Source organism: Homo sapiens, chromosome 8 (genome assembly GCF_000001405.40).
Source record: "Homo sapiens chromosome 8, GRCh38.p14 Primary Assembly".
Classification (NCBI taxonomy): Eukaryota; Metazoa; Chordata; class Mammalia; order Primates; family Hominidae; genus Homo; species Homo sapiens.
Genome location: NC_000008.11, coordinates 142,761,053 through 142,781,166, shown reverse-complemented (window position 1 = coordinate 142,781,166; position 20,114 = coordinate 142,761,053). Strand labels below are relative to the sequence as shown.

The 20,114-nt window shown below is 57.9% G+C and overlaps 3 protein-coding genes and 1 long non-coding RNA gene across 8 annotated transcripts; 3 read left to right on the top strand and 1 right to left on the bottom strand.

The window, feature by feature from the left end:
- Window positions 1–3,294: 3,294 nt before the first annotated feature.
- Window positions 3,295–9,970, top strand: LYNX1 (Ly6/neurotoxin 1). Of its 4 annotated transcripts, none has more exons than NM_177457.5 (4): window positions 3,295–3,408; window positions 5,046–5,261; window positions 5,473–5,574; window positions 5,804–9,965. In NM_177457.5, exons 2-4 carry the CDS (start codon window positions 5,210–5,212, stop codon window positions 5,998–6,000), a joined length of 351 nt encoding a protein of 116 aa, NP_803252.1. In that variant the 5' UTR covers window positions 3,295–3,408; window positions 5,046–5,209; the 3' UTR covers window positions 6,001–9,965. The 4 variants fall into 4 exon arrangements, with proteins under 4 accessions (NP_803252.1, NP_803430.1, NP_803429.1 ...); NM_177477.4 differs by lacking the exon at window positions 3,295–3,408 and adding an exon at window positions 3,965–4,061; NM_177476.4 differs by lacking the exon at window positions 3,295–3,408 and adding an exon at window positions 4,145–4,253.
- On the top strand, window positions 3,295–16,829 carry LYNX1-SLURP2 (LYNX1-SLURP2 readthrough). The gene is made up of 5 exons (NM_023946.5): window positions 3,295–3,408; window positions 5,046–5,261; window positions 5,473–5,574; window positions 16,027–16,131; window positions 16,426–16,829. The coding sequence occupies exons 2-5, from the start codon at window positions 5,210–5,212 to the stop codon at window positions 16,560–16,562; spliced, it is 396 nt and encodes a 131-aa protein (NP_076435.1). The 5' UTR covers window positions 3,295–3,408; window positions 5,046–5,209; the 3' UTR covers window positions 16,563–16,829.
- SLURP2 (secreted LY6/PLAUR domain containing 2) lies at window positions 11,339–16,829 on the top strand. 2 transcript variants are annotated; one of them, NM_001356372.2, is made up of 3 exons: window positions 11,339–11,412; window positions 16,027–16,131; window positions 16,580–16,829. In NM_001356372.2, the coding sequence occupies exons 1-3, from the start codon at window positions 11,361–11,363 to the stop codon at window positions 16,705–16,707; spliced, it is 285 nt and encodes a 94-aa protein (NP_001343301.1). In that variant the 5' UTR covers window positions 11,339–11,360; the 3' UTR covers window positions 16,708–16,829. The 2 variants fall into 2 exon arrangements, with proteins under 2 accessions (NP_001343301.1, NP_803253.1); NM_177458.3 differs by having other exon boundaries at window positions 16,426–16,829.
- SLURP2-AS1 (SLURP2 antisense RNA 1) lies at window positions 14,740–18,102 on the bottom strand. The gene is made up of 2 exons (XR_007061134.1): window positions 17,672–18,102; window positions 14,740–15,029 (listed from the first exon to the last, which is right to left on the bottom strand). It is a non-coding gene; the product is annotated as an SLURP2 antisense RNA 1 (long non-coding RNA).
- Between the last annotated feature and the right edge of the window lie 2,012 nt (window positions 18,103–20,114).

The window sequence follows — 20,114 nt, the reverse complement described above, 5'->3', positions numbered from 1 at the left end:
CAGCCCCCAACTCAGAGGCAGCTAGCTTTGGTTTGCAAGAGGTCCTTTCTCTGGTCCTGCCATGGACAAGCCGGACTGGGGAGGGTTGTTGAGGTCCTCCTCCTGGAGGGGCATTCTCAAACATTGCTCTCATTGATTTTTCTCTATCTTCTTTTTCTACCTCACTTTTTTTTTTTTTTTTTTTTGCTTTTATTTTTGCTATTTTCTTCATTTTGCTTACCTTGGGTTTGATTTGCTCTTTTTGTTCTGGTTTCCGAGGGTGAAAGTTTAGGTGGTTTTTTTTGGAGAACTTCTTTCTCTTCCAAAAGAAGTTTTAGCTCTTTTTTTTCTAAAAGAAGCATTAGTGCAAAATTTCCCTCCAGGGCCCACTTCAGCTGCATCCTTTGACTTTGATGAATTGTGTTTGCATTTTCATTCAGTTGGAAATATTTTCTGATTTCCTTTTTGGTTTCTCCTTTGACCTATAAGTTGTTTAGAAATATGTTATTACTCAGTTTCTAAATATTTGATGATCTTTTAGATATATTTCTGTTATTGATTTCTAATTTAGCTCCATTGTAGTCCAAGCAAATAATCTGCATGATTTTAATCCGTATAAATTTACTGAGATTTGTTCTATGGCCCAGAATACAGTCTGCCTTGGAGGACATTATTGGTAAATAAAGGTGTGTTCCCCTTCTGTGAGGTGGAGTGTCCTACAAACATCAAGTTGGTCATGTTGACTGGTAATGTGATCCACGTCTTCATCCTTACAGACTTTTTGTCTATTTTTTATCAGTTCTCGAAAGAGGAGTGTTGAAATCTCTGTTATTGTGGATTTTCTTTTTCTCCTTTCAGTTCTATCAGATGTTGTTTGTTTTGCTTTGTGTATTTTGAAGCTTAATTGTTAGGTGCATACATATTTAGAACTGCTGAGTCCTCTTCATGAACTGATCAATTTATCATTTGGTAATGTCCCTCTTTTTAAATTTTTTTTCTTTCTTTCTAGTACAGATAGTGTTTTGCTGTTTTGCCCTGGCTGGTCTCAAACTCCTGGCCTCAAGCAATCCTCCCACCTCAGCCTCCCAAAGTGCTGGGATTGCAGATGAGAGCCACTACACCTGGCCAGTAATGCTCCTCTTTATTTCTGATTATAGTCTTTGCTTTAAACCTACTTTGATATTGACGTAGTCATGTCTGTGTTCTTTTAATTGGTGTTAGCATAGTATATCTCTCTCCATCTTTTTACTTTTATCTTATTTGTGTTTTTACATGTCTGGTGAGTTTCCCACTGACAGCATATACTTGGCTGTTTCTATTTTTATCCAATCTGACAACCTCTGTTTTTAATTGAGATGTTTTTGTTTGTTTTTGAGGCAGAGTCTCACTCACTCTGTCGCTCAGGCTGGAGTGCAGTGGCACCATCTCAGCTTACTGCAACCTCTGCCTCCCAGGTTCAAGCAATTCTCCTGCCTCAGCCTCCCAAGTAGCTGGGATTACAGGCACCCACCGCCATGCCCAGCTAATTTTTGTATTTTTTAGTAGAGAGGGAGTTTCACCATGTTGGCCAGGCTGGTCTGGAACTCCTGACTTCAAGTGATCCACCTTCCTCAGCCTTTCAAAGTGTTGGGATTACAGGTTAGGATTACAGGTGTGAGCCACCGTGCTCAGCCTGATTGAAGTGTTTAGATGACATAGTGTCATTATTGCTGTGGCTGGGTTTAAATATATGTCATCTTGCTATTTGTTTTCTATTTGTCTCATTGTTTTTTCCTTTCTCCTCTTCTGCAGTCTCTGTAACATGTGCTTTTATAAATAAATAATTCTGTATCATCACTTTTGTTGATTTATTAACTACAGTGCTTTGACTTTTGCTTTTTTCTTTGTCTTTTTTTAGTGACACTTTAGCGTCTTAGCATACACCTTTGACTTACTAGTCTACCTCCAAGAAATAGTAGGCCACTTCACATAGAGTAGAATAAATCTACAACAGTGAACTTCCATTGTCCCTCTCCTGGTCTATTTGTATTACTATTTTTTTTTAAATTTATTTGACACAGCGTCTTGCTCTATCACCCAGGCTTCAGTGCAGTAGCGTGATCACAGCTCACTGCAACCTCCACCTCCTGGGTTCAAGTGATTCTCCCACCTCAGCCTCCTGGGTGCAACCTCAGGTGTGCACCACCACACCCAGCTAATTTTTTGGTATTTTTTTTTTTTTAGAGATGAGGTCTCTCTACGTTGCCCAGCCAAGCCTGGTCTTGAACTCCTGGGCTCAAGCGATCCACTCGCCTCAGCCTCCCAAAGTGCTGGGATTACAGGCGTGAGCCGCGGTGCCCAGCCTGCACTACTATTATCATACAATTTACTTCTACATTTGCTATAAATTCCTTAATACATTGTTATTATTTTTGCTTTAGGTAATCAACTATCTTTTAACTTGATTCAAAAATAAGAAAAAAATTACCTTCTATTTCCTATTTCTGGTGTCATTTATTCCTTTGTGTAGATCCGTATTTCTGCCTGAAGAACTTCCTTTAACATAAAGGTCCCCAACCCCTGGGTCACAGACCGGTTAGGAACCACGCCACACAGCAGGAGGCGAGCGCTGGCGGGCGGGCAAGGGAAGTTTCATCCGTATTAATTCATCGTGGTCTGAGGCTGAAGACCGCGACATACTCTGGTTCTGACCTATGCGTTCCTTCCACGCCCCTTATCCCACCAGAGTGTGAGCTCCATGGGGTGGGAATATTCTGGAACGTCTGCTGGTTTTATTCTTTGCCTTCTCCCCAACTAGGACCTGGCACAGGAGGGTGCGCATTACCTCTCGGCAAACAGAACAACTAACTGGCCTAGTTTGCTGGGGACCGAAGGATTTCCTGGAACCGGAGCCCGCTTGCCCAGCAGGCATGGTGTATTCTGTACCTCAGGCCCGCAAAAATGTTTTAAAGAAAAAAATGAGCTTTAGGGTAGAAGAAAAGGTTTTATTTTTCTTTCTCACATTGGAAAAAATGAAAACTTTCGGACCCATGAAATTTTATTACATTTTGCCAAAAACAGAACCAATAACATAAGTATTCAAAGTTATGTAAAGATAATTATTTAATATGAACATTATGATGGTGAGAGGGACCACGGAGCAAGGGGCTGCCTTGCAGGCCTGCCTTCCAGCTTTGCTACAGGGACCAGAAGCGGGAGCTGAGCGCAGGGGAGGCAGGCGGAGGCCATGGGCAGCGAGGCGGGTGCGCCAAAGGGCGCCAGTTCCGGAGCTGCTGGGCCTGGGCTGCAGGAGGGCGGAGCTGGGGCCGCAAGGCTGGTGCCGGCCGACAAACGACGCGGCGCGGGCGAGTGGGCGGAGGCGGCTGCGGGGAAGGCTGGGCTGCCGCGGGACGCGGTGAAGATAGCCTGCGGAGTGTCCGGGCTGAACACGTGAGTCTGAGGGTCGCCAGGGAATCACTGCGTGGCTGCCTCTGTGTCGGAGATCCAGATGCCTGGACTGGCCTCGGGGTCCCAGCGCTTGCCCGGCGAGCCGGCGGTCCGGGGACGGGTCCGGGCCGAGGCCTGCGGTGAACTCGGCTCGGCGGGTGCCCAGGAGGCGGGTCCGGGGCGGGGCCTGCGGTGAACTCGGCTCGGCGGGTGCCCAGGAGGCGGGTCCGGGGCGGGGCCTGCGGTGAACTCGGCTCGGCGGGTGCCCAGGAGGCGGGTCCGGGGCGGGGCCTGCGGTGAACTCGGCTCGGCGGGTGCCCAGGAGGCGGGGCAGGGGCGGGGCCTGCAGTGAGCGCGGCTTGGTGAGTAGCCCAGGAGGCGGGTCCGGGGCGGGGCCTGCGGTGAGCTCGGCTCGGGGGGTTGCTCAGGAGGTGGGGCCGGGGCAGGCCTGGGGCGGGGCCTGCGGTGAGCTCGCGCTGGGCGGGCTGTTCCGGGGGCGGGACTGGGCTGGGCCTGCGGTGAGCATCAGGCGATGCGGCACGGGTGCTGCGGGACACACAGACACGCCTACGATTAGACTCAGGCAGGCACCTACCGGCGAGCGGCCGCGGGTGACTCCCAGGCGCGGCGGTACCTCACGGTGGTGAAGGTCACAGGTGAGGTCACCCTGATAGTCCCGCTCGCGCCGAGAGCCCTCCCCTCGACCTGGGACCGCAGTGTTTGGGGCGGGGCTCTCCGTGAGGGGGTTGGGAAGCTCGAAGCCGCAGGCCTGACTCTGGCCTTTGGCATCCTGGGGTTGGCCTGGGCAAATGTGTCGTGAGAGACGGATTTGTTGTTCTCGGGAAGGCGTAAGTTTAATTTAGTCCTCCAGGACGGAGACCGAGGGCCGAGTATCCCGGCAGGGGTAGGAGAGCCGTAATCCAACCCCCACCTCCCCACTGTAAACCTCTTTCCAGAGAGGGCATTCCCGTTCCAAACACCAGACCCAGCCGGGGAAATGCTTCTTCTTGTCTGGCCCAAGTGCCCTCCTGGGAGGGGCTCAAAATGCATTCCCCCCAAGCTGGGCACAGCTCATCCCTGCTGGGGAGCTTCTGCAGTGGCCGAGGACTCAGACAACCCTAACCAGGGCTCTGGAGGTCTTCTGGAAGAAGGAACCCCAAGTAGGGACACCCCAGGAGCAGAGAGGAGGGGAACAGCGAGAAGAGACCCAGCTTTTGGGCCCAGTCCTGCCATGGCCAGCCATCCGGCCCCCAGGGCCCTGCTTGGGATGGGGCTGCAGACCACCTCCCATGGGACCTCTGCACCAACCATCCCCTGGGTAAAATCCTTGTTTAGGCCTGGTATTTAAGGCCCCTCTGCCCATCCCTACTCCTTCTCTAGCACTGCCCCTCATCCTCCCCCCATCTCTCCTCCATCCAGCGCTACAGGCTGTTTTGAGCTTTTGCAGGTGCTGGTCTCTGATTGAAATGTCCTGATCTCTTCTCCCTTCTTGTCCCATCCCAAGTGTCTCCTCCTCCAGGAAACCTTCCCTGACACCCACTGAGTTAGGTGGCCCCTCTGCCCACCATCATCCCTGCCCAGGCCCCCATGGGTCCTTCAGGCCCAGTACTGACCACCTGTCTTTGCCACCTGCTGTGCAGGGTTGCAGCACTCCCAGTAGACCAGGAGCTCCGGGAGGCAGGGCCGGCCCCACGTCCTCTGCGCACCACCCTGAGTTGGATCCTCTGTGCGCCACCCCTGAGTTGGATCCAGGGCTAGCTGCTGTTGACCTCCCCACTCCCACGCTGCCCTCCTGCCTGCAGCCATGACGCCCCTGCTCACCCTGATCCTGGTGGTCCTCATGGGCTTACCTCTGGGTAAGATGGACAAAGGACAGAGGGATGGGCAGACCCACTTTGAGGGCAGATGGGCTGACAGTAGGGAAGGAGGCTAGAATTCCCAGCGACAACCCCTCCTTCTAGCCCCCTGCCCCGGGGAAGGTGACGGGCTGGGGGCCTGATGGGCTGGAGGAGGGGCCTCTCATGTTCTGTGACCCCCGTTCCCTTCCCGCCCATCTGCCAACCCCAGCCCAGGCCTTGGACTGCCACGTGTGTGCCTACAACGGAGACAACTGCTTCAACCCCATGCGCTGCCCGGCTATGGTTGCCTACTGCATGACCACGCGCACCTGTGAGTCTGGGGGCCCTGCGTGGCCCTGCCTGGGGAGCACGAAGGGGAGGTTCTGCCCTGCCCCTGAGCATGCGGGGGTCCTGAGGAAGGAGGCTCTCCTGTTCCCGGATCCTGTCTGGGAGCTCCAGGCTGAGGGGCCCTGCCCTGATGGCTGTGGATGCTGGGGTGGGGCCAGCTGGGTCTCCTGCCCCTCTTAGCGGAGCTGGCTCACCGCCCCGCCCCTCTGCAGACTACACCCCCACCAGGATGAAGGTCAGTAAGTCCTGCGTGCCCCGCTGCTTCGAGACTGTGTATGATGGCTACTCCAAGCACGCGTCCACCACCTCCTGCTGCCAGTACGACCTCTGCAACGGCACCGGCCTTGCCACCCCGGCCACCCTGGCCCTGGCCCCCATCCTCCTGGCCACCCTCTGGGGTCTCCTCTAAAGCCCCCGAGGCAGACCCACTCAAGAACAAAGCTCTCGAGACACACTGCTACACCCTCGCACCCAGCTCACCCTGCCTCACCCTCCACACTCCCTGCGACCTCCTCAGCCATGCCCAGGGTCAGGACTGTGGGCAAGAAGACACCCGACCTCCCCCAACCACCACACGACCTCACTTCGAGGCCTTGACCTTTCGATGCTGTGTGGGATCCCAAAAGTGTCCGGCTTTGATGGGCTGATCAGCCCCTCGCCTGTCCAGGGCTATTTATGGGGAGGGGCCCAGTCAGGCAGGGAGCACTGAGCAGATGGGAGCTGTGGCCAAGCCCACCTTCTGGGAAGCCCTAGGAGAGGCCCCTGCCTCAGTCTGCCCCTGGTGTGCTGGGGCAGGGGGAAGACAAGGAATGCCCGCAGGTGGGGTGGTGGGGAGACTCTTAGGAGGAAAGGCTCCTCCAGGCCTAGTCACGCTTCCTACTGAGGCCAGGAGCTGCCAGGACCGGTACGGGATCAGGGCTGTGGGAGGAGGGCCTTTGGCACCGGCCCCTGTGCTAGGAAGTCTGCCAGGCCCGAGTTGGAGCCACCCCCTGCAGGGGAGGGGGCGGCTCTGCCTCAGCAGGCCCCAGGGCCCCCGAAGTCACAGAAGCTTTTTCGGGTCCAGCAAGGGGTGTGTGTCCTCTCAGTCAAACCCCTTGACGTTTCCCACCCCCTCACGGGGAGGGCACCAGGCCTGAAGCTGGCAGGAGCTAGGGCCATGCTATATTTGGTGGGTCCTGGACGCTGACCCGGCCAGCGCTATTCTGGGCAGGGAGGGAAAGGGGCAGAGCAGGTGGTCCCCCGAGTCCTGGTCCCCAACCACAGCAGGACCCAGCCGAGCAAGGCAAAAGACGCAGGACTGGGGGATGCGCGCACAGGCTGGGGGTTGGGAGCAGCCTGGGGCCGGCGCGGGCCTGGGCGTGGGAAGGCGGAGCATGCCACCCTCTCGTGGCCGTGCGGGGGCGGGAGTGGGGAGGGTGGGGTGGGGAGGGCGGAGACCCAGCCCCTCCCCCGCAGCGGGATGCGCACAGTGAGTGGGTCCCTCCATCACCTTCCACCTGGGGATGCACCCACTGGGAGGGCAGGGTGGAAGCCCCAGCTGGGTGTGTGGACTCCCAGGGACCCCACCCCAGGCCTGGGAAGCAGGGGTCAGCCCAACACGCACCAATCCATCCCCGATGCAGGTAGCCCAGGGAGCACCTGCCCCTGCTGTGAATGGGGCATTCGGGGGCGTGAGACCTTTTGGTGCCAGCGGTCACGCTGCACCTGAGGCCCCCACCTGACCAGTGCTCCCAGCTCTGGTGTCCTGAGAAACCCTTCAAGCCATCCCGCATGGGCAGGATGGTGACATATCCATGTGGTAGGATTGTCCCGGCCCCAAAGTATGGCCCTGGTCAGGGGAGCCCCTGCTGGAAATTGCATCTCCAGAGCTTTGATGCAGGACCCCTGGGGGATCAGGGAATGAGGGTCTCCACCCCAGGGGTCTCCTTGCAGTGAGTCTATATGCAGGCCTGCGTTCTGCTCCTGGGGCTGGTTCTGAGTGCCCAGCTTCAGTCTCCTGAGAACATGAGGATGGGAGGGGGCAGAGTCTTGCTGAGGGCACACCCAGTTCCCGCTGGAGGAGGACAGTGCCAGTCTTCTGCAAAGGGACCTTGGGTGGGAACGGGCCCGGAGCGGGAGGAACGTGACTCCCCAGAGGGAAGATGGGCATCATACTGGGCCCAGAGCTGGGAAGGAGTTGCTGCCAGCACAGGGTGGGCCTGGACTCCCCTCGCCCCTACCCCCAGTGGTTGTGGCTGTAGCCCTAAGCCTGGAGAGCAGGACCGGCCCGGGGTGTCTGGGAGGCTGCCAGGTGCCTCCCAGAGCTCCCAAGGGCCCCCACCTGCAAGTGCCAGCCTCAGGGCAGTGCCCAAATGAGGCCCTCTCAGCTGCAGCCAGCGATGCCTTGGGATGCTTACCGGGAGGGAGGCGGCTTTGGGCTCCTAAGTCCTTGGGAGAGGCTGGGAGCAGTCACTGCGCGGCTTGCGCAAGCCCATTGTCGGGTTGGGTGGCTTCCTCAGCCAGGGCTGGGAGGGACTCCAGGATCAGGTCCTCCCTGTCTCGAGTCTCAGTGGGGTGATGGGGAGGAGACCTGGCCACCCATGGCTCAGGGGCAGCTGAGAACAAGGACCTGCTGGAGCTGGAAGTGCTGTGGTGTTGAGGGGTGGGGTGGGCAGCTTCTCACACCTGCCTCCTGCCTCCTTCTGTCCACCTTTCCACCACCCTGACCTGTCCCAGCCCCACACATGGTTCTGCCTGGCTGGCCTGCCCTTGGCACCTGGCGTAGAGCACACAGAAGGCACTCAGCTAATGCTGGGCAGGCCCACTCATGGGGAGTGCGTGGCTGTGCAGCACCAGGGAACCGGCACAGCAGCGCCGGCAGAAATCACAGCAGTAAACTTGTCCGGGTTGTATGCATCAAGGTGGCGATGGACGTGGGTCCCCCCACTGCACTGTGGCCCTGAGCACTGTATAGCAGCCCGGCAATGGGAGCCATTATCTTGCCCCTTTGACAGAGGAGGACACAGAGGCACAGGGAGGTGAAGTAGCTGCCCCACACTAGTGCCTCCTCGCTCACTCACCACCCCCTGCACCACAGTGCAGCCGCTTCTCCCACCAGCTGGGGTTCCTTGGACCCCCAAGCCTGGGAAGGGGGAGGTGAGTTTACAAAATGGAAAGCTTAAAAGGAGAAAAGTGGAACCAGAGGTTTGAGAAGCCCTGAGTGGTAGAGTAAGGCCTCCAGCGCTGCCTCTGGGTGCAGGGCAGAGTGGCAGAGGAGAGGGGGAGAGGCACTGGGCACCATGGGGGCCCAGTTCCCACTTCGGGGATCTCTCTCGCAGAACCGAGGGTCCCCTTCATGGGGGTAGATGCCCAGGGCTAGCTGTTGCCACTGTCTGTGTGGACCTGAGTCCTGGACATGCCCGAGTGACTCAGGAGTGGCTGCTTGGGCGGGCTCTGTCACCCTAGGATGTTATACATTCTGGGAACTGGACAGGAGTGGCTGCTTGGGCGGGCTCTGGCACCCTGGGATGTTATACATTCTGGGAACTGGACAGGAGTGGCTGCTTGGGTGGGCTCTGGCACCCTGGGATGTTATACATTCTGGGAACTGCAATCAGCCACTAGAGAAGTCGGAGCTACAGGAAGTGACCCTGGGGTGGGACCTGGGGACATGGCCAGGTCAGCATGGGGACACCCGGCTCCAGCAGGAGCTCTGGTCTGTCCTGGGGTCTTTGGGGGCAGGGCTGCGGCCCTGGGCAGGCTTCCTCCAGGCGGAGGTCCTGGGGAAGTGGGGGAGCCAGGCCAGCTGCCGCCTCCCCCACTATGTAGCATCTGATTCGTCATCTCTCATGAAGGCGATTTGGTTCATAACTCTGAAACTCTGAAAAAGGTCAAAAGAAGCAGAGAGGCCCTCGGTGGATATGCCAGCTTTTCTGCCGGTGCTTTCTCCCACTACTCTGGGTGGTCTGCTCTCCTCTTCAAACCTCAGCTCGCAGGGAGGGCCTGAATCTGCCAGCCCCTCAGGATCTCCTTCCCTCTGGGCCCTCCCCAGCCTTAAGGAGCCTCCCAGACAGAAGGGTGGACAGAGCCACCTGGGCAGCCCGAGAGACACACGGGGGTCCTCCCTGTGGACAGCCCTGCCAGCTTCCGCCCAGCCCTGAGCTTCATTTGCATCTTGAGGAGTAAGGGGTGGTGAAATGGGAATGCTGGTCTGGCTCAGCTGGTCGTGGGCATAAGTGCCCGCTGAATGGATGGCATCTCTCCCTCCTGTCTTATGTTCTGGGGTCCAGGTGCTTCCCAGGGCCATGCCCCTGCTGCTAATGCTTGCCCTAACCCTTACCCTAACCAGCGTCCAGCGTCGTCTCACCGAGCCGTAAATAAATCAACAGATTCGCATTGTCTGCGCTTCTCTCCAGCCCCACTGCCTCGGCCTGAGCTCGGGCCTCACCTTTCCAGCCTGGCTGGGCTGGCACTCCAGGCTGCATGCAGCCACTTTCCTGTCTACCCTACCCGGTCCAGGTCCTGGACTTTTCTGGCCTCTAGGCCTGACCTGTCCTCGGAGCCAGGCACAGGGAGGGAGACAGGCAGGGCTCCTGGGGCTTGCTGAGAGTTGCTCCCAGTTCCGTGGGAGAGAGGCCACCCCCCACCCAGCACCCCTGAGGGGCATACAAACCCCTGAGGAAGTCTGGGTGTGCGGGGTAAGGGAGGCGGGAACTCCCCCAGGACCCCATCCCACCATCTCTGACCTCTCTGCCTACCTGGTTCCTGACCCCAGCTTCTCGACTGCCCCAGGAAGGAGGGCCTGGATCTGCCAGCCCCTCTTTCAGGATCTCCCTCCTCCTGGGCCCACCTCCCAGCCATAAGGAGCCCCCGAAACGGAGGGGTAGACAGAAGCCATGTGGGCAGCCCGAGAGACACATAGGGGTCCCCGGGTTGGCATGGCTGACTGGCTACGGACAGGCCCTTTGGGGCCCCAGCCCCTGGCCAGCCTTTGGAGGAACAGCTGATGGCTCCCGCTCTCCAGGGTGTCCCTTCTGGGCTCTTACCTTATCCTTGGGGTCCCTTTTAGTACCAAGGGCCTTTCTGTCCCCCCTACTCCTCTGCACAGATCCTGGGGCGTTAGTCACAGTGTGACAATGGCCATGATTCCCTGTACGGATGACAGAGAGGTGGCTCACAACCATGCTCCCTCTGTGTTCTCCCAGCCCTGCGGGGGTCAGGATGGGAAAGCTCTGGCTTATTTGGAGGAGGTCTTGTCATGGAACTCATTCTAGGGTGGGAGTACAGATGAAGGCCTGTGGCTTCCACCCAGCCCTGAGCTTCATGTGCATTTTGAGGCGTAAGGGGTGGGCTGGTGGCTGGTGCCCAAGACCCTCCTTCCCACCAGACCTTCCTTCCCAGCCTCTGAGGGAGACCGGCCTGTGGCCGTCACCTGCCTGGTGCCAGGCCTTCCTTCCCAGCCACTGAGGGAGAGTGGCCTGTGGCCATTGCTTGCCTGGTGCCAGGCCATTTTATCAGATCCTCAATCCTGTCAGCCAGGGCTATCCCTACTTTATGGACAAGGAGAGATGGCTCATGAGATGACACCGGCCCGCTCAGAGGCCTAACCAGCGAGCTTTGGGGCCAGGTTGGCCCCTACCGCCCGGACCCCAGCCCGGCTCCTTGACTGAGCCCGGCTGCCTGGTGACTCAGACCCGCAGAGTCTGCTGAGCGGGCGAGGGCCAGGGCGGGGTGCCAGCAGGTATAAGGCAGCCGGCCAGGGCGCCGACAGCCCGACCTCACCAGGAGAACATGCAGCTCGGCACTGGGCTCCTGCTGGCCGCCGTCCTGAGCCTGCAGCTGGGTGAGTCCAGGGGCTGGGGCCACCTCCTGCTCAAGGCCCCCATCACTCTAGCCCAACCACCGTCCCTCCAGCCCTGGGCTGTGACTGCCCACCTCGGGAGAACCCATTCCTGTCCCCCCACCATCTACCAGGTGCAGCTTTCCTCCGAAAGCCTCCTGCGATCCTGCAGGTCCATCCAGCTCAGCCCCAGCCCCCGACACTGGCCCCCACACTTCTCAGGATGCACAGCCCTTGGCTCAAACCCCCCTCTTCCTCTGCCCAGCCCCCAGACCTCTCCAGTCCACCGCGACACCCCTCACACACGCACCTTCGTGCACGTGCACACACACACTCTGAATGTGCCCCCCTCCAGCCCTCTTGGGCCTGGCCTCCCAGCTGGTTTGTCTCCTGGGGCCACCCTCCCGGGACTCCCTCTTCCCTCTTGCCTGGGAAAACCAAGTCCCTCTGCTCTCCCATCCCCAGTTCCTGCTCCCGGGTCCTCTCCTCTGCTCCCCGCTTTCCTGGGTGATTTTACCCCCTCCCCATCCCCCAACCCTCGACCCCCGCAGTGCCCACGTCTGCTACGGCTGGCCCTGTCCCCCCAGCTTCAGATCCCTTGGCCCAGGGCCTTCCTGAGGGCTCCAAGGGGATGACCCCTCAAGCACAGCTGTGCACACCTGGCCTTGGCATCCCCCAGCAGAGCCTGAACGTCTTCTCTTGGCAGGGCATCTCCACCCCCACCCTGAGGCCTCAACAAAACCAGCTGGCCCCTTGATCTGCCGGTGGCCTGCACCTCCAAGCCCAAGCAGCCCAGCCCCCCAGGGGCCAAGCCTCTGCGTCCCTGGCTGTGGGTTGAACGACCTGGGCAGCCCCTGCCTCCCAGGCCCTGAATGAGCAGGGGGTGGAGCGTCGGTGAGTCCCTGGCGCTGGCTCAGGTGTCTCTTACATCCCTCCAGTCTCCATCCCCAGGGGCACCCTCCTGGCCTATGAGAGGCTGAGCCGCTGACCCTGAGGACTGCCCCAGGGTCATGAGGGCAGACCAGCTCTGTGCTGAAGGTCCGAGACACACAGGGGCCTGGGGACTCGACTTAACCTGGAGAAGGCCTTTGTAACCATCAGGACTGGACAGGCAGTCAGGTGGCCATCCAGGCCAGGGATGGCACATCACAGGAGCCTCTGCCTGGGTGCCCGGTGCCCACGGACTCCCCTCTGACCCAGAGGCCCTTCCCTGCACCAGGGCTCCTGGAGCCCTTCCTTCTGCTGAAATCCCACCTGCCCCTCGAGGAACAAGCCCCAAGCTGCCTCACTGCTCTTCCGGTTGGAGGACTGGCGAGCCTCTCTCAGGGGCACCTGCATCCCCTGTCATTGCTTGGTGTCTGCTCTCTGCCATACATGGACAGCACAATCTCCCCGAGGGGCCAGCCTGCTTCAGAGCCAGCACGGGGGTCCCCAGTGGGAGAGACCTGCCCCCAGCCATGCAGCTACACCCAGAGCCCATCCCACCATCCTGTTTGTCCCTCCATTATTCCTGCCCCCTCCCCCCCACCCCACCTCCCTCCTCCTCTCTATTCCTCCTCCCTCCTTCCCTTCCTTCCTTCCTCTCCTCCTCCCTCCCTTCCTCTCTCCTCTTCTCCCCCTGATCTCCCCTCCCTCCCGTGTGTCAGGCGCCAGTCTGAACACTGTCCCTGTGTCCTCACAGTCACCATCGAGCAGCCTTTCCGGTTTGGAGCTAACATTTTATCTGCTTCCCTCAGGATCTCATTGCTGAAAATCAAAAACCCTCTGATAAGGGACAGAATTATTATTTCTCTTGATAACCCAACCTGCAACCACCCCCGGAATTCATTCATTCATTCATTCATTCATTCATTCATTTATTCATTCATTCTGCAAGCCTCTCCTGGGCCTCATTAAGTGCAGGGGAGGGAGCACTGAGGAATGGGTAGAACGCCCTGCCCAGCCTCAGAGGCCCTCATGCTTGGGTGGGGGTGAGGAAGGAGCCCTGAGCACAATCACTTGGAGCAGGGACACTGATGCCAGCTGGGGCAGGATGCTGCAGTTCACGGTGGGTGTGTCAGAGTTGGAACCATTCACTCTGCCCTGGAAACCAAGGAGGCCTTCCTGGAGGGGGTGGCATTTGCACCAGGGCTTGTTTTGCCCAGAGGGCAGGAGGAACAGCAAGTTCAAAGCCAGGGAGGCCTTGGGAGCGTGGGCATGTGTAGTGGACAGGCTGGAGCTGGTTCTCTCCATGGCACCCTTGGGCACCCATATCCTCACCTCCTCCTTCTGGTGCCCCAGCCTCCTGCCCATCTTCCCTGCTACCCCCCACCCCAGCCAGCTGTGGCCTGTGGCTGCCAGTGTTGAGTAGAGGCGTGTCCGACTTATTGGCTGTCACTAGGTTGGATGTGACAGCCAAGGGGAGCTTCAAGCCACTTTGGTGGGAAGGCAGAGAGGGGCTTGGAGGCAGCTGTCACCACCTTTCTTTCTCGAAGGTGGGGTCTCAGCTTGCTCTCCGGGGCTGGTAGAGGGGCCAAAGCTGATGGCAGGGGCCTGCCCTGGCCGGAACTTCCCATCTGTGTCACCTTCTCCGTGGTGCCTCGATGGAGGATTCCGCCCACAGGACCCAGGGGTGACCAGAGGACTCTGGCCCGTGGCAGGGGCCTGGTGTGCACTGAGGTCTGAGGTCAGCTCAGTGCTGGTGCATACAGAGCCATGCTGTCAGGAACCCGGGTTTGGAGCTGGCACTGACTGGGGCTGACTCCAGCCCTTCTCCACCTTTGGCAACAGTGAGGCGGGGGCAGCCCAGCAGAGATGGGATAGGGCAGGCGTGGGCTCCTGTGTCCTGAGGCTGGGCTGCCTGGGGCACAGCTCAAGAGGAAGCCAGGGCCTGCGCCTGGTGCCTGTGACAGAGCAGCCCTCACATCCTTATGGCCACACCATTGGCCTTGTCACCCTGCAGGCTCCTATGCAGAGAGAGCAGGCCTGGGGCCAGCAGGTGTTAGGGACTCTGCTTACCCAGTCCTGGGTGTGTGAACCAAGGGTGAGGACAGGGAGGGAGGGAGTTGGAGGCTGAGAAATGAGAAATGGATGGAGGCGGCCAGGGAGGAGAGGACAGAGTCAGGGATGAAGAGGGGCAGAGAGCAGGCAGGGAAGCCCTTGGGGGGTGCCCAGGAGGGCTAGCAGGCCTCGGGAGTGGGGCAGACCCACAGCAGCGCCCGCGGAAGAGCAGTGTCTCCCGAGCACGGGCCGTCCTCCTGGGTAAAGTGAGGCAGAGCTCACCGCTCCCTGCAGCTGCCTGGGTGCCGCCACTGTAGCGGGATGTTTTAAGGAATCAGAGAGACCAAGGGGTTGAGGAGGATATTTATTATTTAGGTGCACCAGCCCAGTCGGGTTAACATCCAAAGGACTGAGCTCTGAACAAAGAGTTAAGTTACCTTTTAAGCATTTCGCGGGGTGGGGGGAGATCGGTGCAGGGGGAAGCATGTTACAGAAGCGAGAAACAAAGACAGTGATTCAATGAATTGAGACATTCCTTACATCATTTCTTCCTTTTGAAGGAAAAACATGTTTTACGACTTGAGTTTCTCTGTCTGTGACCTTGCAGCTGCACAACTAGAGAAACGGTGTCTCCACAGCGCCTGGGAAAGGAGGAGAGAGAAGGCTCACTAGCCACAGAGGAACAGGCAGGGAATTATTAAAGGACTCTAGTTCTTTCTCTTTCTCAGAGGGAATTGGGTTTTCTTACATACAACTGAGTTTCTGTTTACACAGCCTTTTTTTGTTTTTTGTTTTTTGTTTTTTGTTTTTTTTTTTGAGGTGGAGTCTTGCTCTGTCGCCCAGGCTCGAGTGCAGTGGCGCGATCTCGGCTCACTGCAACCTCTGCCTCCCAGGTTCAAGCAATTCTCCTGCCTCAGCCTCCTGAGTAGCTGGGATTACAGGCACACGCCACCATGCCCAGCTAATGTTTTTATATTTTTAGTAGAGATAGGGTTTCACCATATTGGCCAGGCTGTTCTTGAACTTCTGACCTCAAGTGATCCACCCACCTCGGCCTCCCAAAGTGCTGGGATTACAGGCGTGAGCCACCGCGCCCGGCCTACACATTCTTTAATTTCTTTTAATTCCTGTTCCACCACATCCTGGTCGCCCTTGCCCTGGGCTCCCTGTGGAGGCAGGAACGGCCCCATCATCGCAGCCACCAGAATCCAGTCCCGGGGGTCTAACAGGTCCCACTCAGTACCCAGAGGCAAAAATGGGCATGGCCAGAAAGCGTGTCTCAGAGCCCCTCCACCTCCTCCCCACCCCCCACCCTGGGACCCCAAATAGCCCAGGCTGCTGCACCACCACTGCCCTGGGACATCACACTGCGAGCCAGGGCTGCCCGGCCCCACCCTTGCCCAAGGCTGCTTCCTGGGCAAGGATGCAACCAGCTGGCTCCAGCTGCAGGGCTGCCAGGCACCCCAAGGTGAGGGACAGGGGCCCAGCTCCTGAGAGGGCTGGATCACAGGGTCGGGACACTGGCCGCTGAGAAGGAGCATGGGCTGCTGGGTGGAGATGAGTGCGTGCCGTCACTGCAGAAGGTGGCCCACACCTGCCTCCCATCCGTTTGTGTCCTGTCTGTCCCCATGTCCGCAGCTGCAGCCGAAGCCATATGGTGTCACCAGTGCACGGGCTTCGGAGGGTGCTCCCATGGATCCAGATGCCTGAGGGACTCCACCCACTGTGTCACCACTGCCACCCGTAAGTGGGAACAGTGGTGGGCTGGCCACGTCCTTCTTGCCCAGGTGGGAAGATGTGGGCTCAGAGGGTGACAGAGCCAGATCCAGGCACCCAGTAAGTCAGAAGCATAGTGGGGAGTGTCCGCCAGTGATGCCCAGGGAAGGGTATGAGCAAAGGGCCACGTCTGCCCCAGGAGGGCCCGTATGCTTCATGTACCTGGGGCGTCTGACCCTCAGCTCAGTGGCAGATGGGGCAGCAGGGTCTGGGCAAACCAGAGCCTCAGGGAGCTCCATGGTTTCTCTCCTGCCCACTCAGGGGTCCTCAGCAACACCGAGGATTTGCCTCTGGTCACCAAGATGTGCCACATAGGCTGCCCCGATATCCCCAGCCTGGGCCTGGGCCCCTACGTATCCATCGCTTGCTGCCAGACCAGCCTCTGCAACCATGACTGACGGCTGCCCTCCTCCAGGCCCCCGGACGCTCAGCCCCCACAGCCCCCACAGCCTGGCGCCAGGGCTCACAGCTGCCCCTCCCTCGAGACTGGCCAGCCCACCTCTCCCGGCCTCTGCAGCCACCGTCCAGCACCGCTTGTCCTAGGGAAGTCCTGCGTGGAGTCTTGCCTCAATCTGCTGCCGTCCAAGCCTGGGGCCCATCGTGCCTGCCGCCCCTTCAGGTCCCGACCTCCCCACAATAAAATGTGATTGGATCGTGTGGTACAAGCTATGCAGTGAGAGTGGAGTCCTGCCATCCTGGGCTTGGGAGTAGAGTGGAGTAGATTTGGGGGTGCCTCGCTCCCTCACCCCAGGCTAAACCCTACTACCCCACCCCCACTTGCCCTTATCACGGAACAGGCCCTCCCGCCTCCAGCCAACTGTCAGGCCTGAAGGGCACGGGGGCCCAGGCACCCCGGGCAGCTGCTTCTCCTGAAGCAGCTAGAGTGGGAGTTGGGGCTGGGGCACATGAGGAGCCCTCCACCCCAGAGCGTGAGTTGGGAAACCTCAGAAAAAGGACACCCCGGCTGAGACATGGAGGCTGTGCGGGGTGGAGGAAGGGAGGAGGTGCCATTGGCAAAGACGGCTGCAGCAGGCCTTCTGGAATAGGGAGAAGAGTGAGGCGGCATCCTCACCCTCGCCCTCATACATGCCCCTGGGCCAGTGGCCCGGCCTGCCCCTCTCTAGGAAACCCCCAGTTCTGGCAGGGAACACCACCTCCAGCTCCTCTGGGCCACTGGGTACCCAGCACACAAGGCAGGGTGCTGGGGAGAGATGCTGGGAGTGGGATGAATCAGACTGAGGTGATGGGCAGCTGTGGCCACCCATCTCAGGGTGGACATGGAAACTAGGTAAGTGATGTTTGTGGAAGTTGATCACTCCCTAGGCAACATTGCGTCATGGCCGAGCTTCGGGCTGCAAGGTTGAATGAGACCCCCACATAAGCCTGGCACTCCCCTCGGAGAGGCCGAGGTGAGTCAATACCTGCAGCACCCAGATCCCCCCGACTGAGTTAGCACCTGCCAAGAAACACACCGCCAGGCCCTTTCCTTGGCCTTTCTTGTTCTCACCTTGGCAACGTTCTCATGAAGAATCAGCACAGGAGAAAGCTGATGCAATTGTTAAGCTGCTCCACAAGGAGGGGGTGTCTCAGGCAGGGCCGCCGGACACTCAGGTGCAGGACAACTTTCAGAGTAGCCCCGGGCACAGAAGAAGACATAAACAGGGTGCGCTGGAGATACCCAGATAAGCTCAAGAATTGAGGTGACAATGGAGCACTTCTCAGATCTGCAGGAGAGGGACAGGGCTCACTGGCAGCCGCCGTGGAGCACTGTGGAGAGAACAGGATAAGGCTGGATCATCACCTCTCTCGCTACAGCCAAAGGCATGCCAACTGAATGAGAGGTTTCGATGTAAAAAGAGGAGGTTTTTTAATGCTAGATAATTCAGAATAGAAAAGCAAGACACGTTCCTGAAAGGATTGGACAGAGTTGCTGTAAACACAGCAATTCCACCCCCGCCCCCCCACCTGGTCCAAATTCCACCCCCAGGCCAAATTCCACGCCCAGGCATGGCCCAAGAAGAGTAAACACGAGTCCACACAAAAGCCTGTGCACAAACATTCACAGTGGCATTATTCATAGCAGACAAAAGGCGGGAAAAACCCAAATGCCCATCAACTGATGGAGGGATCACAGAGATGACAGACCCACACCACAGAATGTTATTCAGCCACATAAAGGAATGAAGCCCCGACCCACGCCAAAACACGGGAGAGCCTTGAAAACACGCGGGGGGTGCTTGAAAACACGATGCTAAGTGAGACAGAAGCCGCGCACAACAGGCCAAGCAGTGTACAGTTCTATTTCTCAGAAGTGGCCGGAATAGGGAGCTCTATAGGGAGGAAAAGGAGATGAGTGGTTGCTAGGTGGTGGCAGGGATTATTAAGAAATACGGAAAGGCCGGGTGTGGCGGCTCACGCCTGTATTCCCAGCACACTGGGAGGCCGAGGAGGGTGGATCACCTGAGGTCAGGAGTTTGAGACCAGCCTGAGCAACATGGTGAGACTCCGTTTCTACTAAAAATACAAAAATTAGCCAGGTGTGGTGGCGCATGCCCGTAATCCCAGCCACTTGGGAGGCTGAGGCACGAGAATCACTTGAACCAGGGAGGCGGAGGTTGCAGTGAGCTAAGATGGTGCCACTGCACTCCAGCCTGGGCAAAGGAGCGAGACTCCATCTTAAAAAGCAAACAAACAAACAAACAAAAAGAAATAGGGAAAAGCCAGAGTACTTTTCCTGCTCTCACACAATACAGTACTTCACCCCATCACCAAAGTGTGTGTATTTCTCTCCACCAGCAACCAAGCCACACTGCCGTGGACACCAACTGGATGTCCTCAATTCAATTCCGACACCATTCCTGTGGCGGTCACGTCAGATCCCGCAGGTGGAGGGCTCAGTGCCACGCAGTGAGCCCCACTTCCAATGCCAGTCGCAAGCCCCAGGTGTGGCCCGTGCTTCTGACCAACCTGCCATGAATCAGGGTTCCCACAACCCCCTCCTCGGGTTTGATGACTTGCTGGAGCGGCTCATAGAACTCAGGGACACACTGAGCCGCGTTTACCCATTTATGACACAGGCTGTGACGAAGGTGTGGACGCACAGCAGGTGGGGGAGACGCGTGGGGCAGGCACAGGGAGGGGCTCAGAGCTTCCAGGCCCTCCCAGTGCCACCCCCAGACACCTGCGCATGTTCTGCTCTCGGAGGCTCCCTGAGCCCTGTCCTTTTGGGAAATTTACAGAGGCTTCATTACGTAGGCATGATGGATTAAACTACTGGCCACTGACCAACCCAACCTGCAGCCCCTCCCCTCCCCTGAAGGCTGGGGGTGGGGCTGAAGTCCCAGCTCTCTAATCCCGTTGTCCCTCATCCTGAAGCTCCCTGGGGACCCCCAGTCACCAGTCCTCTCATTAGCATACAAAAGATGCCCTTGCCACTCCAGAGATTCCAAGGGTTTTAAGAGCTGTATGTCAGGAAACCAAAATATCCATCTCACAATCTCACAAAATAAGCAATGTCAGAAAACCAAAATATCCATCTCACAATCTCACAAAATAACCACTTCACGTTCTCACAGTGAATGGAGCAAAGATAGCGCTGAAGCGTTCAAGGTTTCTTTTCAAGATGATGAAAATGGGCTAAAACTGCGAATATGGTAAAAACCACTGAGTTACCCACTGTAAACGGGTGGATTGTATGGTGCGTGAGAAACCACTGAATTACCCACTGTAAATGGGTGGATTGTATGCTGTGTGAGAAACCACTGAATTAGCCACTGTAAACGGGTGGATTGTATGGTGCGTGAGAAACCACTGAATTAGCCACTGTAAACGGGTGGATTGTATGGTGCGTGAGAAACCACTGAATTACCCACTGTAAACGGGTGGATTGTATGGTGCGTGAGAAACCACTGAATTACCCACTGTAAACGGGTGGATTGTATGCTGCATGA

What these genes read in the sequence shown, in the direction of transcription:
- LYNX1-SLURP2 (NM_023946.5), top strand. Translation starts at nt 5,210, where the DNA reads ATGACGCCCCTGCTCACCCTGATCCTGGTGGTCCTCATGGGCTTACCT. An exon ending in CCTCATGGGCTTACCTCTGG is followed by an intron (nt 5,262 to 5,472) that starts GTAAGATGGACA and finishes TGCCAACCCCAG; the next exon opens with CCCAGGCCTTGGACTGCCAC. An exon ending in CTGCATGACCACGCGCACCT is followed by an intron (nt 5,575 to 16,026) that starts GTGAGTCTGGGG and finishes CCATGTCCGCAG; the next exon opens with CTGCAGCCGAAGCCATATGG.
- LYNX1 (NM_001356370.1), top strand. Translation starts at nt 5,210, where the DNA reads ATGACGCCCCTGCTCACCCTGATCCTGGTGGTCCTCATGGGCTTACCT. An exon ending in CCTCATGGGCTTACCTCTGG is followed by an intron (nt 5,262 to 5,472) that starts GTAAGATGGACA and finishes TGCCAACCCCAG; the next exon opens with CCCAGGCCTTGGACTGCCAC. An exon ending in CTGCATGACCACGCGCACCT is followed by an intron (nt 5,575 to 5,803) that starts GTGAGTCTGGGG and finishes GCCCCTCTGCAG; the next exon opens with ACTACACCCCCACCAGGATG.
- SLURP2 (NM_177458.3), top strand. Translation starts at nt 11,361, where the DNA reads ATGCAGCTCGGCACTGGGCTCCTGCTGGCCGCCGTCCTGAGCCTGCAG. An exon ending in CGTCCTGAGCCTGCAGCTGG is followed by an intron (nt 11,413 to 16,026) that starts GTGAGTCCAGGG and finishes CCATGTCCGCAG; the next exon opens with CTGCAGCCGAAGCCATATGG. An exon ending in CTGTGTCACCACTGCCACCC is followed by an intron (nt 16,132 to 16,425) that starts GTAAGTGGGAAC and finishes CTGCCCACTCAG; the next exon opens with GGGTCCTCAGCAACACCGAG.